This window comes from Homo sapiens, chromosome 10 (genome assembly GCF_000001405.40).
Source record: "Homo sapiens chromosome 10, GRCh38.p14 Primary Assembly".
In the NCBI taxonomy this organism is placed as follows: Eukaryota; Metazoa; Chordata; class Mammalia; order Primates; family Hominidae; genus Homo; species Homo sapiens.
Window position 1 is genome coordinate 33780696 of NC_000010.11, and position 17846 is coordinate 33798541.

Consider the following 17846-nt stretch of genomic DNA (forward strand, 5'->3'; position numbering starts at 1 on the left):
ACTTGATTTGGGAGGCCTCTACCAAACAGTGGCTTCTCAGATTTTCCATCATTGACAATTTCCCCTGAGATTTGGGGTACAATGAAGTAGGAAACCTAGTTCTCCTGTCTCAGCCTGGTGTCTGATGAAGTACAAAGCTTGTGGGGACAGATTTCAGATAAAGAGATCCTTCTGTGTGCATCCGAAAAAAGCAAAGAAGGTGGAGAAGAAAGAAACTGTACAGGAATGCAAGCATTTACGTCCATCCACGCCCCTTAAAAACATTCAAAGTGCCAACCAGAGTGTTCATTCGTGCTAAAAACTGTGATCAACACTTGAGATGAAAAGCCTTCAAATGTGCATTACATCCACGGGCTGGCACGTATCCATTATTGGTTGAATCTTTCATTTCTCAGCTACTCTCTGATGCCTAAGTGTGAAAAAAGTCAGTATGCCTGAATTGAATTTTTAGATCGCTTTACGTCAATGCACATTTGTTTGTTTTCAAAATCAACAACAAATGCAACACTAAATACTTTTGGCTGCTCAGTTGTACAGCCTTGTGCTGTAACAGAATTCGCCCCCTTGTGCTCAGGCAGCTTCGGAATGAAGCCAATGGTACACGTAGAATCGTAATTCAGTGAAGCAAATAAAATGATGAACTATATCCCTGCCCTCCATTTTCCCTGTAGAAAGAAACACCAATGTTTGTGCATGCTTCTGTGTGTTTAAATGTGTGTGTGTGTGTGTGTGTGTGTGCACATGTAGACAATCATTTCCACATAGCTCAGAAACAGATAACAAGACAATCATAAAGAAGGCTGGATACAAAAGCAGTGTACCCATTTTGTCCAGAGTGGCCAGATCAAATTGTAATCCAAAGTTTGGTTGTGATTTTGAGGTGAGGTTACAGTGTGTACTGTCCACAAACTGGAGAAAGCTCTAATCCCTCTGAAAAGCAGTGTGTGGATTGACTGGATTAAATATCAGAAATTTTGTTTCCAATGAGTTCCACAAATCCCATGGATATAGCCTGGAGTGGAAAAAAAAAGAAGAAAAAACTAGAAATATGCAAAAGCAAAGAAAACCCATAACTTAATACACGTAAAATGCTTCATGACTTCTGAAAAGAATTTCTGCCTAACCAGTGAAAGAAGTAGCAGCTGTTCTAATGGAATGAGGGAGAGTTACTCTTCCTCTTCATATCCCTGACTGCGCAAGCCACCAGGGACTTTCTCTTCCTGCTCTGTTGCCCTGAGAAGTATGTCAGCTTGAAAAGCTTCAGCAAATCGATTTAGAGTTTTATAGCCTCCATTCTCTTACTCATTTATTCGTTCATTCAACTCTATATTAATTTATTCATTCATTCAACTCTATATTAGTTCTCTCTTTCTTTTTTAATTAATTAAATTTTTTTGTAGAGACCAGGTCTCGCTGTGTTGTCCAAGCTAGTCTCAAACGCCTGGCCTCAAGCAATCCTCCCACCTCAGCCTCCCAAAGTGCTGGGATTACAGGCATGAGTCACCATGCCCGGCAGTTCTTTCTTTCTATATAGATGCCTCATAAGTGCCATTTGCACTACAAGTATGTGTAAGGAAAAAGACTTAAGAAACTTTATAGCATTTCCTTGAACTCAAGTCAAGGAACATGACTGCCTATGAATAGTGGAAGATGGCAAAACTGAAAAACTAAAAGCAGAAATGGAAATGTATTCCAATTTCCTCCAGCTTCATTACAGCCAGAAAAATCTGACCCATAAGATTGAAGCCCTAATGTTTGACCATGGACTCCATCAGAGTACACAGTGGTAGAACTGTGAGTGTATACTTAATGTGTTTCCTATGGGATGGATGCCAGAAATTCCACTCTTGGCAAGGCACAGTGGCTCACGCCTGTAATCCCAGCACTTTGGGAGGGTGAGGCGGGCAGATCACCTGAGGTCGGGAGTTCGAGACCAGCTTGACCAACATGGAGAAACCCCGTCTCTACTAAAAATACAAAAATTACCCAGGTGTGGTGGCATGTTCCTGTAATCCCAGCTACTTGGAAGGCTGAAGCAGGAGAATCACTTGAACCCAGGAGGCGGAGGTTGCAGTGAGCCGAGGTCATGCCACTGCACTCCAGCTTGGGACAGAGCGAGACTCCATCTCAAAAAGAAAAAAGAAAAAATAGAAAAAAAACTCCATTCTTAGATAATCCAACCAGATAGGCTGCTTCTGGCTACACACTGCTTCTGAGGCGCTAGACCTTGTTGCACTTGTGTTACCTACACAACGGGTGGGTTCAGTAGCTTGGTGGGTATCAGCCCAATGACCACCACAAAGGAGGATTTAGCCAGGGGATTTTATTACTTGAAACAAGTAAGGAGAATCCCAGGGGTAATTCCCAAAGCAGTGGCTCCCGGAGCTGGGGACTGGGTCAGGTTTTATAAGCATGGGGTAATGAAGTGTGATCTGATTGGATGTTGCAATGAGGTGATGCCAAGTGGCATGATCTGACTGGATCTTGCTGTGGGGTGACACCAGGGCTCCATCTGATTTGATCCTGGATCCTACCATGCTGTGTCCGCTTCTTAATTCAGTCCCCCGTGCTCTATCTGAGCACTTGGGTTCCCCCTGTGGTTGCACACTTGGTTCATCTGGGCATGCTCAGGTCACGTGACTTGAGGGTCCATGGTAACTGAAAAACAGCTCACAACTTTGTTACATAAAAGTTGAATCAGACAAGTCTCATGCAGCTACCCTCATATCCCAATTTCTCCTGGGTTCAATATTGATCACAGCATTTAAGTTCTATGGGAAAACACCACACCACACAGGTGTCATGTTAGATCATCTGCACTTGTCTATTTTATTATTATACTTAACTTCAATTTATATTATACATTTTTTAGCTAAGGTTCTCTACCTGGGGAGCAAATGCCTCATTACTCAGAGGTCATTGTGGTCTGAGAAAACCCAATTGCCTTTTTTTCTGAGCTTATTTTCTCTGTGGTCCCCAGTGCTGTACCCTGAAGATACAGAAACTTGTGAGTTACAAGTAACTGAGGAGAGGTCTGGTGTGTGAACGGGACAGCAGAGCACCTGCTGTAGATGGGTTCAGGATGTGGAAGGAGGTAAAGTTGTGGCTTGGGTGGTGTGTTAGTTTCTGAAGGCTGCTGTAACAGATTACCATGAACTGGGTGGCTTACATTAAGAGAAATTTATTTTATCACAATTCTGGAGTCTCAAAGTCCAAAATCAAAGTGTCAGCAGGACTGATTCCTTCTAGATCCTATGTAGGAGAGTCTGTCCTTTCTATCTTCTGGTGGCTATGCAGGAAAATCTGTCCCTTCTATCATCCCTTGGCTCATAGCTGCCTCACTCCAAACACTGTCTCTATAGCCACATGACAACTTCCCTCTGAGGGAGTGTCTTGGTGTTTCTTCTACTTTTCTTACGAGGACACCAGCCATGTTGGATTAAAAGCCACCCTATGCCAGCATGACCTCATTTTAACTAATTGCATCTGCAAAGAACCAATTTCCCAATAAGGTCACTTACATGGGTATGGGGATTAGGACTTGAACATATCTTTTTGGAGGATGTAATTCTATCCACAAGAGGTGGCAAGTCAGACTGTCATAAAAGGCTCTCTACATACCAAAATTAGGTACAGGCAGACCTCATGTTATTGCGCTTCACCTTATTGCACTTTGCAGATATTGCATTTTCTACAAATGGAAGGTTTATGGCAATTCCTCATCAAGCAAGTCTGTAGGCGCCATTTTTCCAACAGCATATGTTCACTTTGTATCTCTGTGTCACATTTTGGTAATTCTTGCAACTCTTCAAATGCTTTTGATATTAATATATCTGTTAGGGTAATCTGTGATCAGTGATCTTTGATGTTACTTTTGTAATTGTTTGGGGGCAGCACAAATCATGCCCATATAAGACAGAATACTTAATAAATGTCATGTGTGTTCTGAATGCTCCACCAGTTGGCCATTCTCCAGTCTCTCTCCCTCTCCTAGGGTCTTCCTATTCCACGAGACACAAAAATACTGAAATTAGGCCAGTTAATAACCCTGCAATAACCTCTAAGTATTCAGGTAAAAGGAAGAGTTGCATATCTATCGCTTTAAATCAAAAGCTAGAAATGATTAAGCTTAGTGAGGAAGGCACGTCAAAAGCGGAGATAGGATGAAAGCTAGGCTTCTTGATCCAGTTAGCCAAGTTGTGAGTGTCAAGGAAAAGTTATTGAAGGAAATAAAAAGTGCTACTCCAGTGAACAGATAAATGATAAAACACCCTTACTACCGACATGGAGAAAGTTTGAGTGGTCTAGGTAGAAGATCAAACCAACCATAGCATTCCCTTAAGCCAATGCCTAATCCATAGCAAGGCTCTGCCTCATGTCATTCTATGAAGGCTGAGACAGATGAGGAAGCTGCAGAAGAAAAGTTGAAAGCTAGCAGAGGTGGTGCATGAGGTTTAAGAAAAGAAACCATCTCCATCACATGAAAGTGCAAGGTGAAGCAGCAAATACTGGTGGAGAAGCTGCAGCAAGTTATCCAGAAGATCTAGCTAAGATCATGGATGAAGATAGCTTCACTAAACAACAGAATTTCAGTGTAGATGAAACAGCCTTCTGTGGGAGATGATGCCACCTGAGATTTTGATACCTAGAGAGAAGCCACTGCCTAGCATCAAAGCTTCAAAGGACAGGCTGACTATCTTAGGGGCTAATGCAGCTGGTGACTTTAAGTTAAAGCCAATGTTTGTTGACTGTTCTGAAAATCCTAGGGCCCTTAAGAATTACTCTGAATGTATTCAACCTGAACTCTATACATGGAACCACAAAGCCTAGGTGACAGCATATCTGTTTACAGCATAGCTTACTGAATATTTTAAGCCCACTGTTGAGACCAGCTGCTTAGAAAAAAAAAATTCCTTTGAAAATACTACCATTCATTGACGATGCACCTGGTAGTTACCCAAGAGCTCTGATGGAGATGTACGAGAAGACTAATGTTGTTTTCATGCCTGTTAACATCCATTCTGCAGCCCATGGATCAAGAAGACATTTCAACTTTCAAGTCTTACTATTTAAGGGATATATTTTGTAAGGCTATAGCTTACATTGAAAACCTTTAGGAAACAATTCGCCATTCTAGATGCCATTAAGAACATTCGTGATTCATAGGAGGAGGTCAAAATATCCATATTAACAGAAGCTTGGAAGAAGTTGATTCCAACCCTCATGGATGACATTGTAGGGTTCAAGATGTCAGCGGAGGGAGGAACTGCAGATGTAGTGGAAATGGCAAGAGAATTAGAAATAGAAATGGAGCCTGAAGATGTGACTGAATTGCTGCAATCTTATGATAAAACTTGAACAGACAAGGAGTTGCTTCTTATGGATGAGCAAAGAAATTACTTTCTGAAGATATGGAATCTACTTCTGGTGAAGGTGCTGTGAAAATTGTTGAAATGACAACAAAGGATTTAGAATATTCCATAAACTTAGTTGATAACACAGTGGCAGGGTTTGAGAGGATTAACTTCAATTGTGAAAAGAATTCTACTGTGGGTAAAATACTATCAAATAGCATTGCATGCTACAGAGAAATCTTTCATGAAAGGAAGAGTCAATCAATGTAACAGATTGCATTGCTGTCTTATTCTAAAAAACTACCACTGCCACCCCAGTCTTCAGCAACCACCACCCTGATTAGTCAGCAGCCATCAGCACTGAGACAAAACCCTCTACCAGCAAAAAGATGGCAATTTGTTCATTGAAGGCTCAGATAATCGTTAACATTTTTTAGCAATATTTTTACTTATTTATTTCTTATTATTTATTTATTTTCTTATTTTTTTGAGACAGAGTCCCACTCTGTGGCCCAGGCTGGAGTGCAGTGGTGCAATCTTGGCTCACTGCAACCTCCACCTCCCGGGTTCAAGCAATCCTCATGCCTCGGCCTGTGGAGTAGCTGGGATTACGTGCATGCTACTATGCCCAGCTAAGTTTTGTATTTTTAGTAGAGATGAGGTTTCACCGTGTTGGCCAGGCTGGTCTCGAACTCCTGGCCTCCAACAATCTGCCTGCCTTGGCCTCCCAAAGTGCTGGGATTATAGGTATGAGCCGCCATGCTTGGTTGCATTTTTAAATGAAGGTATATACATAGGTTTTTAGACATAATGCCATTGCACACTTAAAAGACAGCAGTGTCATGAATATAACTTTTATACGCACTGGAAACAAAGACAATTGTGTTACTAACTTTATTGTGATATCTGTTTTATTGTGGTGGTCTGGAACCAAACCTGCAATATATCAGAAGTATCCCTGTATGATTTTAATACTATTTGGTATTCAACGCAAGGGAGCTGGTAAAAGATGTGTGTGAGATAGAAGGAGAGAAGCAGGGGAATCTAGAGGGAGGCCCTTAGATGGGTATAGCGTGTGTGCTTGGGAACAGCAGCCACAGCTAGGATGCAGAGTCTGATTCAGCCACAGCTCCACTCCTGCTTGCCACTCTGCAGACAAGAATTCCGTACAGAGCAAACATCAGCAGTGTAGGCCTCATAGCCTGCTCATCTCACTTCCAAGACGTGCAAAGTTTGGACATTCTCAACTCTCCTCTCAGACATATAGTTTCACAGTCTGAGACATGTTGAATTTACAATCAGCTACATTTTTATAATGCACAACCTTAAAAAACACAGAAAAATAATAGAAATATTTTCAACTGATGAGGCAGGAACTTGACCCAACAAGTAATTCTAGAGTCATAAAAAAATCATGGACAGGAGGAGTCCCCAGAGTTCAGAGGACCCTGCCTTGGGAAGAGGTGGGTGTGTGACTTCTCCAGGCCATCTTGGGCCATAGAAGGGCCTGGGGAGAGAGAGGCCCTATCCCACTGGGGAATCTTGTCATCTGGATCTGAAAGAGCAGTTACACTGGCACACCTCAGCCTGGAGGAGACCTTGGCTTTTGCAGCAGGAAAGAGGGAATGGTATCCAGCCAGGGCGCTGGAAGAGTGGAGCTTCCACCAAAAATGAATGGACTTGCAGCTGGTGGCGAGGCCGCTGGGCTGGATGCAGAGCTCTAGCAAGGCTGAGGCAGAAGAATTGGGAGAGTGGGCATTTTCTTCTCAAGACCTCCTGTCTCCTCTACTCTTCTCTGGGGCTGCATTTTATTCAGCATTTGCTTCTCATCAATTTGCTTGGATGGAAACCACCTAAGAAAGACATTTTTAAAAGTCAGGAAATTGCCCAAGACAGGAAAGCTTCTAGAACTTGGTACTGGCTATCATTGTAGCATCCTGCTGGGGTCCGATTCAAGGGGTAGCGGGTGAGACTAACATCATTATTTGATAGGAGGAACCAAACAGGGCCAAGCGGCGAAATTTAAAACTGGGGCACGCTCTCTTCTCTGCAAATAATTTCCAGTAGTTTCATTCTGCTCTCGCCTGGCCTCTCCCCACTAGCCAGAGATGGGATTCTCTGTTTCTATTTGTCTCTCATCATAAAGCTCATCTATTTTATTTTAAATTGTGTTACATTTGACTCAGGTAATAGAATTCTGCAGGCCGCTGACTTGTGAGAAAAGTAAGACAGCTGTTTTCATGTGTTAAAAAGAACTTGGATGGACAGTTAACATAATCTACTGTGAACACTTTTTCCCACTGTGGGTAGATAAGTGTGTTTGGCTGGAGTTGTTGAATCTCTGAGTTTGCAGATATGTATTGATATGCAACAATCCACAGGGAACTAATTGTCCACAGAATAGCTTGACAGCTCAAGTTCGGTGCGGACATTTTCCCTGGGTCAATCACTTTTACAAGGAAAAATGAATCTTAATTTTTCCCCCCTAAGCCAACAGGGACCACTCCTGTGTTCTGTCGAGAAGATGTGGACAGACCCTGTCCATGAGTACTCACGTTAACCGAGCAGGGAGCTGATGTACTTGTTCACCATTGAGCACCACCATGATCCAGGGTGGCCAGATCAAGAGCCGAGAACTTTCTCCCCACCAAGGGAGCCAGGGAAGCGGGCGGAATGTCAAGCAGGCCTGTCAGAAGGCTGGCAAGAGGCAGGAAACGCCGGCCGTGTTCTTTGAATTTTCAGAGTGCCCAACATAAGGGCAAAACCAGAAAAAATAAGCATAAGCTCAAGCTAAGATGAGAAGGATTTCAGCCTGATTCAGTCTGTAATCAAGAACACGACAAACATTGGAACCACATGCCCATGGAGCAACATTCCTGACAGCATCTATTGAGTGCTTGCTGTGTGCCTTGCTCTAGAGAGCTTTACTTTTCCCTTTTTAAAATGTATAAGTAATCAATAAATTCATAAGCAATCAATAATAACTATTACTTTACTATAATAAAGTAATAAGTGAAGTAACATAAAAAGTAAATAAGACTGATTGGGCACAGTGGCTCATGCCTGTAATTGCAGCACTTTGGGAGGCTGAGGCAGGTGGATTGCCCAGGAGTTTGAGACCAGCCTGGACAACATAGTTGAGACTCTATTTCTATAAAATACAAAAATTAACCAGGTGTGGTGGTCTGCACCTGTGGTCCCAGCTACTTGGGAGGCTGAGGTGAGAAGAACACTTGAGCCCAGGAGTTCAAGGCTGCAATGAGATACGATGGCACCATTGCACACCAGCCTGGATGTCAGAATGAGACTTTGTCTCAAAAAAAAAAGTAAATTAAAGGTAACAATTAGAATATATAAAAAAGATAAATACCAGTTATCTTCATTTTAAACATTGCAAATAAATTTGAAGTATCTCAGACCACACCCTCTCCCACCACACCTAATTTTCCTTTCAAAAAGTGCACAACACACTAATCAATTTGCCCTGTGTTTTTCCAGACCTTTTCCTTACATGCACACGTGCACACACTTCCCCCACCAGTACATATATCTGGTGGATAGCATTCTATTTATATGTGATAGATGCTATCACACTATAAATAATATTCTATACTTATTCTTTCATTCCAAAAATATACACCTTGGTGATCTTTCTGTATCAGTGTATATTGATCTACTTTTTGTAAAATATTCCATAATATGGCTCAAAATAATTCATTCAACTATTCCCTTTTTGTTGATACTTAGGCCGTTTTAAATTTTTCCTATTACAGACAATGCTGAAAGTAGCAACTAATACCTACAATGCCTTAGAGAATCCATTTCTTCCCATGCTTGCCAATACCTGATATTATCATGGGGATCTTTAAGAACAAGGGTGATAGCCTCATCTGTCCTGGGTGATTTGGTCATTTACTTACTGCAAAGCGAAAGAGAAAAGATCTCTCATGGTCCATAGCAATTCAATGATAATGGGTAAGAGGATTCTATGGGAGGTTTTACAGAAAGATTACCTGAAATGGACATTTTTTTTTTTTGAGACAAAGTTTCACTCTTATCACCAGGCTGGGTTTATAGGGTGTGTGCTTGGGAACAGTGGCCGATCTCAGCTCACTGCAACCTCTACTTCCTGGGTTCAAGCTATTCTCCTGCCTCAGACTCCTGTGTAGCTGGGATTACAGGCATGCCACCATGCCCAGCAAATTTTTTGTATTTCTACTAGAGACAGGGTTTCACCGTGTTGGCCAGGCTGGTCTTGAACTCCTGACCTCAGGTGATCCACCCGCCTTGGCCTCCCAGAGTGGGATTACAGGCATGAGCCACCACGCCTGGCCTGAAATGTACATATTTTTAAAAATTATGTTCTTGCTTTCATTTTGACCTGCATATTCACTGGAGGGAGCAGAATTGGCTGCAGGGGTGAGTGGCCTGGTTCAGTTGTAGGTTAATCAAAATTAGTCGGTGCAGGCCTCTTTCCAGGTTATTTTTTCCTAGTACAAATCTGAGTGTGATAATAAAGATTTGTTATTAAGGCCTTTTCCCACGAATTCACAATCGCGGTGTGGGCTGGGCCAAGTGCTAGACGCTGAGGCTAGAGATAAAGGAGACACCAGGGGGTCCCTTCAGGGAGTCCACAGCCAGAATCCATTACCTTCCAACATAAACCACAGAGGAACGCACTGTGCATAGTGTCTGCCTTGCTGTGGCGAAACAGTGGCTTCCATTGCAAGCTTTGAGTGCAATTGTAATTATCAAATGCCTGCATTTCTTTTTACCGTGGACGTTATGAATCACCTCACCCCCAAACGCATCTTTCTCCCAGTCAGCATCTCTCTGGACCCTGTCCATCCGGATCCTGCATCAGATGCCATTTCAGAGCTGCTGTTTGGGGACAGACTGACAGCTGCTGGAGTAGGGACTCCCGCCAGCCCTGAGAATGAGAATAATATAATAATTGAAAACAGAGAGGCTACATTGACTTGTGACCCAGAGGAAACAGATGTATGCAGAAAGTGACCAATGACCCTGGGTCAGTGCCCTCCTTTAAACTTTAAACTAGCTTCGAGTAAGATAACCATTTTTTTTTTCAGTTTTGAAAAATCAAAAGAAAACCAACTCCCCCTCATTATGCAGATAAATCACAGGCACCAACTTTATAAATGAGCAGATTACCTAAATTGCTACTTGGGTATGCCTCAATTAAATTCACAGGTGGTCAAATCTGGATGTGCTGGAAACAGAGCAATTTATCTATAGATGTTCGCATTTTGCCAAAAATAGAATACGGCATCTTCTCCAGACGCACTTTCCACATTCGTTCTTATTTTCCTAGAGATGAATTGCTTCATCCAGTACACATTTGTTATCCTTCTCCCAGTCCTCCCCCTCCATCCCGTTAAGAAGGATATTTGAGGGGTGAGTAGTTCACTGGGATATTCAGGGGCAGCTGGTGAACTGAATAAGAGAGACACAGTTGTCTGCATAAAGTTGACATCTCCAGCCAGCATCTCAATAGCTACCATTGTTTCCTCTGCCCACTAGGAGCTCATTGTGGATGGATGGGCCTTCCTCCAGGGTCCATAATGAACTCTGGGCAGGTGGAGGTAAAATAAGCCCTGGATGGAACCTATTGCTGCCAAACTCACAGAGCCTTGTATCTGCCAATTGGGACGATACCCATCGTAAACTGGAATTGTCCGTTATGGCAGTCTACCCTCGCCAAAGGAGACTGGCTACAAATCAGCAGCTTCTGGCATGGATGACTTTGGAAAACTGACCTAGGATCCAAATGTGGATTGTAAAAATGCTCACAATCTTTAACCTAGGCATTCTCTCACTAGACGTTATCCTAAGAAGGCGAGCTACTTAACCATCTATACAAAAACACACACAAACCTAAAGATAAATACATATGATAAGATTGTCCATTAGGGTTATTTATTTATGCTAAATAAATTATAAGTGGCGTACCAATGGAATACTGGTAATATTAATTTTTGGACATCCAAAAGATAATAATTCATTCAGTCCTCAAAAATGATATTTTGAGGTATAGTTAATATTATGGAAAATGCTTAAGATAAAAAATGTTGAATGGTAAAAGGTGGTTGTTTAATTGTTTATTTAATATATTTATGTAATTACTTTGTGTAGATGAATATGTATTCTTACGGCACTCCCCCCAAAATTGGGGTAGTAGAATTGTGAATGCTTCTCTTAAAATATTTTTCTTGGCTGGACGAGGTGGCTCACACCTGTAATCCCAGCAATTTGGGAGGCCAAGGCGGGTAGATCACTTAAGGTCAGGAGTTCGAGACCCGCCTGGCCAACAAACCCCACCTCTACCAAAAATGCAAAAATTAGCCGGGCGTGTTGGCGGACGCCTGTAGTCCCAGCTACTCAAGAGGCTGAAGCAGGAGAACTGCTTGAACCTGGGAGGCAGAGTTTGCAGTGAGCTGAGATCACACCATTGCACACCAGCCTGGGCAACAGAGCAAGACTCTGTCTCAAAAAAAAAAAAAATTATTTATATTCTGTATTTTCATTTTCCCAACGGACATATGTGACAGTCAAAAAATAAATATGGCCGAGTGGGGTGGCTCACTCCTATAATCCCAGCACTTTGGGAGGACGAGGCGGGTGGATCACGAGGTCAGGAGATCAAGACCATCCTGGCTAACATGGTGAAACCCCGTCTCTACTGAAAATACAAAAAAATTAGCCGGGCGTGGTGGCGGGTGCCTGTAGTCCCAGCTGGGCTGAGGCAGGAGAATGGCATGAACTTAGCGGGGGAGCAGAGCTTGCAGTGAGTGGAGATTGCGCCACTGCACTCCAGCCTGGGCGACAGAGTGAGACTCCGTCCTCAAAAAAATAAAAATAAAAATTAAATAAATAAGTAAATAAATATATGTGACCAGTTGCAGTGGCTGACGCCTGTAATCCCAGCACTTTGGGAGGCAGAGGTGAGTGGATCACTTGAGGCCAGGAGTTCAAGACCAGCCTGGCCAACATGGTGAACCCTCCTATCTACTAAAAATACAAAAAATTAGCTGGGAGTGGTGGCGCATGCCTGTAATCCCAGCTATTTGGGAGACAGGCAGGAGAATCACTTGAGCCTGGGAAGCAGAGGTTGCAGTGAGCCGAGATTGTGCCACTGCACTCCAGCCTGAGCGACAGACTCCGTCTCAAAAAAATAAAATAAAATAAATAAATACAGAGCATTTAAAAATAATTTAGTCTTACAGGTGAAGATTTGCTTTCATCACTCATCATGTCCTGAAGACATTTACTCAACTCTTCATTGTATTATTTTAAAAGGTGCAAACCCTGATTTTCTCAAACTAGCCTTAGACTTTCACGACTTTATCTATAGATAATTCTAGATCTATGGAAGTTAAAATTTCAGTTTACTAATCCCTTAATACTACCTTCAAAACATTTAGCAGTTTCAAATATTCCTCTACCTAGAAAGCCAGCAAATAAAAGCAATCTGGTTTCCCTAAGTTCGGATATTAAGTATAGCAGTCTTGATGGGTAATAGTTTTTAAATGTTTTATTTATGTCCACTTATTTGTATTCCTCACAAAAATACATGCAAAGCCAGCAAGAGGCACATTTCAAAGCATGAAGAGTTGCCTTAATTTAACACAAAATGTGGGGGGATTCCTCTGCAGATTTCTGCAAGCATACCCATGGACTACAGATTATATTTACAGATTATATTATGTGATGTTCAATTTAATAAATTAATGCATACTTAAAAATTGTCTCTTTCATGTACATCAGTAATTAATTATTTAATGAATATGTAAATTGCAGGCCAACACATGACGAAAAATGTAAAAAAAAAATGCCTGTAATTTTGGAAGGAGAAGGCAAAGTTTTTAAATACATTACCCAAATATTATATGGTTTCTGTTCCTTTTTCTTCTTCTAGTTTTTACCCCCTAAACCTCAGTGTTAAGTTTAGTACGGGGCCTAGGAGACAACATCTTCTGGATTAAGAAGCAAAGCTGGCCTCAACAGAATTAGGAAGAACACAATTTTCCTTCAGAATCCCTGGTCTATACTATCATTTTCCTATCACTAATGCCTGTGACTCTGCTTCCTTCAGGCTTCTAGTGTCTCCACCACCTCTTTCTCTCAAACCCCATCAAAACACTGTTTTCAAAAATAAAAATAAAAGCAAACAAAGCCATGCAACAAATTCACTTCAAACACAATGGAGGAGAGTAAATTAAGTTCAAGAACCAAGAACCAACCAATGAACAGAAAAGTTTCAAGAGCCATGGGGAAGGAGAAGGATAGAAGGGATCAGGTAGGCAATGGCTCCCTTACAACTGCAATGCATGGGTAATTGCCAGTGGGTCCTTCCTGCCCACTGCACAGGCAAAATCAATTCACTGAGACCCCGGAATTGCAGTAGAGAAAGAGTTTAACTAATGCAAGGCTGGCCCATGTGAGAGAATTGAGGTTATCTCTCAAAACAGTCTTCCTAAAGGCTCAGAGGTCAGGGGTTTTGTGGGTGATTTGGTGGGCAGGGGACTAGGAAATGGGTGCTGCTGATTTGTTGTGAATGAAATCATAGGGGTGTAGGGCCACAAGACCAGTTGAGTCATGAGTCATGAGTCTGGGTAGGGTCAGTTTGAGAAATATCTCCAAAAACCAATCTTCGGTTTTTCAATAGCAATGTTGTCTATAGGCGCAACTGAGGAAATCACAAACCTTGTGACTCCTGGCTACAGGACTTCTGAGCAGTAAGGGATTATAGAAACTATACTTACATTTTAGCAGAGTTCATGCCCTTCCCATAATCCTATTCTCATGCTCTCTTATTAGACTCACAAAGGTGGTTTTCAGTCCCTAAACAAGGAGGGCGTTAATTTTAGGGAGAGACTATGGTCATCTTTGCCTTCAAGTTAAACTATAAACTAAACTTCTCCCAAAGTTAGCTTGGCCTATGCGCAGGAATCATCAAGGACAGCTTAGAGGTCAGAAGCAAGATGGCGTCAGCTATGTCAGATTTCTCTTACCACCATAATCTTGCAAAGGTGGTTCATGTGGGCATAGTCCCAATGTGACCTGAGGGAGTACCAGTCCCAAGCAGTGAAGTGAAACTGAAGGTGCTTGGGCCTCCACACCAGACATCCCTGGTTTAAGTCTCTTGGGATCTTGGACCAGTTAAGCAATTTGAGCTTCTGTTTCCTCATCTGTAAAATGGGAAGATTAAGTAGGATCCTGTCACTAAAGGCCCCAGCCCAGGGTCTGACACATAAGTGCTCAAAATGGCTAGTATAATGACAGACATGAAAGTTATGTTCAAATTTGCAATAACAAAAGGAATAAAGGGGGATTTTCTCTATTCCACTTTCATGATGGAAAGTGAATTCCAAGCCTGAGGCAAGTACTTTGAAAATGAAGAGAAAATAAATATTTTTGTGTCTGCAAATAATCCTTTCTTGCTACAAGAAAGCTGTATCTATTGATAAAATAAAAAGGATGCATATCCTTTACTTTTTAAGGGAATGGCTCAAACACACCACCAATACTCAAAACAAAAATGCAAAATTAAAACAACAGGATCACATTTGCTCAATATCTGACACTCCTATCTAACCTTAGGTTTTTGAGCACTTTGAACCACAACCATTGGTTTTCTTTTACCATTTTTTTAAAATCTCACAGGATGTGGCCTTACTGTCTTCTGAAGACCCACAGCTTTCTTTGTGCATGAATTATGACAACTGTCACATTCTGCCTTGACTTGAGGATAATGTATCTTTGTATTTCTGCTTCTGACCCCTCATGCTGACCACTTTTTTTTTAATTTTTATTTTTTGAGATGAGTTCTTGCTCTGTGGCCCAGGCTGGAGTGCAGTGGTGCAATCATGGCTCACTGCAGCCTCAAACTCCAGAGATCAAGTGATCCTCCTGCCTCAGCCTCTCGAGTAGCTGGGACTCCAGGTGTGTGCCACCATGACTTGCTATTTTTTTTTATTTGTATCCTATAGAGATGGGGGTATCATTCTGTTACCCAGGCTGGAATACAGTGATGTGATCACGACTCACTGCAGCCTTGACCTCCTGGGCTCAAGTGATCCTCTCACTTTAGCCTCCCAAGTAGCTGGGACTACAGGTCCACACCACCATGCCTTTTGGCTAATTTTTTTTTTTTAATTTTTATAGAAACAAAGTCTTGCTATGTTACCCAGGCTGGTCTTAAACTCCTGGGCTCAAGTGATCCCCACCTGGCCTCAGCCAGCTTTCTGAGTGACATCCTCATCCACATCACCCCACCAGAGTCGGATTGCCTTTGTCCTTGGTCTGTGATTTGAACCATGTTTTGGTCCTGAAATCTTCCTTACTTGGGAGAGGCTTGGTGCTCACTGAGAAGGGAAGGGAAGACAAAAGAAGTGTGAAGAGTGGATATCTGAGATGTAACATTTTTCCCAGTTATAAGTTATAAACCTAAAAATAAAACACATTTAAGCTTTCTGATTGTTAGAGCTGTAAAAGATGACTTTGTTATGGATTGCCCTGAATTTCATTTACACCAGGTGATACCAGAACCTTCTGTTTCATTCCACTCCTTCCTTTACTCAGAACCTTTATGTAAAGGAAAAATCAAACTGTTTTTTCTCTCTGCTTTCACACTCAACATAGAACACTTCTGCAACCAGATATGTGTGTGTGGTTTTTGTTTTTGTTTTTCAAATACACCAAGCAATTCTCCAGCAGACACCAGCTGGGTGTCCTATAATTCAATTCAGTTCTGTCACTGGGTCTGACACTACCTGGAGCTACTATCAGACCCACAGATTGAGGGCTCAGCCCCACAAGGTTGCCCCCACTTCAGACACCAATGGCGAATCACAGGATGCAGCTTGTGCTTTTGATTAACTGGCTATAAATCAGGGTCTCATGATTCCACCCCTTTGGATTGGATACTTTGCTAGCGAGACAGAGCAGGGATCCCTCTTAGGGGCCTGCCAGAAGTCTTGAGTCTCTATAAGGGAATTTCCAGGCACCTAGGCCCAGTGGCTAACACCTATAATTTCAGCAATTTGGGAGGCCAAGGTGGGTGGATCACTTGAACCCAGGAGTTTACAATCAGCCTGGCCAACATGGTAAAACCCCATCTCTACGAAAAATACAAAAATTAACCAGGCATGATGGCATGCGCTTGTAGTCCCAGCTACCAGCTACTCAGGAGGCTGAGGGGGGAGGATTGCTTGAGCCCAGGAGCTGGAGGCTGCAGTGAGCTATGATTGCACCACTGCACTCTAGCCTGGGCAACAGAAAAAGACCCTGTGTCAAAAAAAAAAAAAATGTAAATGAGCAGCCTGATCAGCAAGAAGATAGTAGCAATAGTCTCCCAAGCAAGCCAGAGTCATAAGGTGTTTGGGCTCGCTATAGAGATGGAAGGGTAACATCTTGACATACGTACTTGCATTGCTTTTTGGAAGCAACTCACATGACATCACATGGTTGTCAGCTACAGGAAAACTGAGGACTGAACTCTGACTGCCATTTTTTTCTCTAAATTTCTTCCTGAGGGGCCTGGAAGGAGTCACATCCACAGGCCAGACTAAGGCTTAACCTCCATGTGTTGGTTTAAGATTTGACCTGCAACTTGTTTTCCTGAAATGTACCCCAGCCTTTAAAAAACCCTTGCCTGGCCGGATGCAGTGTCTCACTCCTGTAATCCCAACAGTTTGGGAGGCCAAAGTGGGTAGATCACCTGAAGTCAGGAGTTCGAGACCAGCCTGACCAACATGGTGAAACCCTGTCTCTACTAAAAATACAAAAAATTAGCCGGGAGTGGTGGCACACACCTGTAATCCCAGCTATTTGGGAGGCTGAGACAGGAGAACTGCTTGAACCCAAGAGGCGGAAGTTACAGTGAGCTGAGATCACACCATTGTACTCCAGCCTGGGCAACAAGAACAAAACTCCATCTCAAAAAACAAACAAACGAATAAATAAACAATAAAAACCCTTGCCTGTAAGTTATTGGGGAATTTGGGTCTTAAGCATTAGCTGCCCATTCTCCTTGCACGGTGCCCTCCAATAAATATTGTTTTCTCCAGCTGCAAACCTGGTTCTCAGTGTCTGACTTTACGCATCAGGTGAGCAGACTCCAGTTCAGCTCAGTAACACAATGATGGCTCACAGAACTCAAGGGAGCAGTTCCCTTACATTTACTGGTCTATTATAAAGGGCAGCGATGAACATCCAGATGGAGAGATGGAGAGGGCAAGGTATGGGGGTTGTAGAGCCTCCATGCCCTCTCCTGCATACCACCCTCCTATTACCAGAAAGGGGTCCCTATCCAGACCCCAAGAGAGGGTTCTTGGATCTCATGCAAGAAAGAATTCAGGACAAGTCCACGGAGTAAAGTGAATGTAAGTTTTTTAAGAAAGTAAAGGAATAAAAGAATGGTTGCTCCTTAGGTAGAGCAGTGGCGTGGACTGCACAGCTGATTATACTTAT

The 17846-nt window shown here is 42.5% G+C and overlaps 1 annotated feature.

The window, feature by feature from the left end:
* Positions 2391 to 2583: a silencer, noted in NCBI's record as "fragment chr10:34072014-34072206 (GRCh37/hg19 assembly coordinates)". NCBI's record gives its function as "represses an EF-1alpha promoter that drives an FKBP-Casp9 reporter gene in an ReSE screen in K562 erythroleukemia cells {active_cell/tissue: K562}" and the evidence as "EXISTENCE:reporter gene assay evidence [ECO:0000049][PMID:32094911]".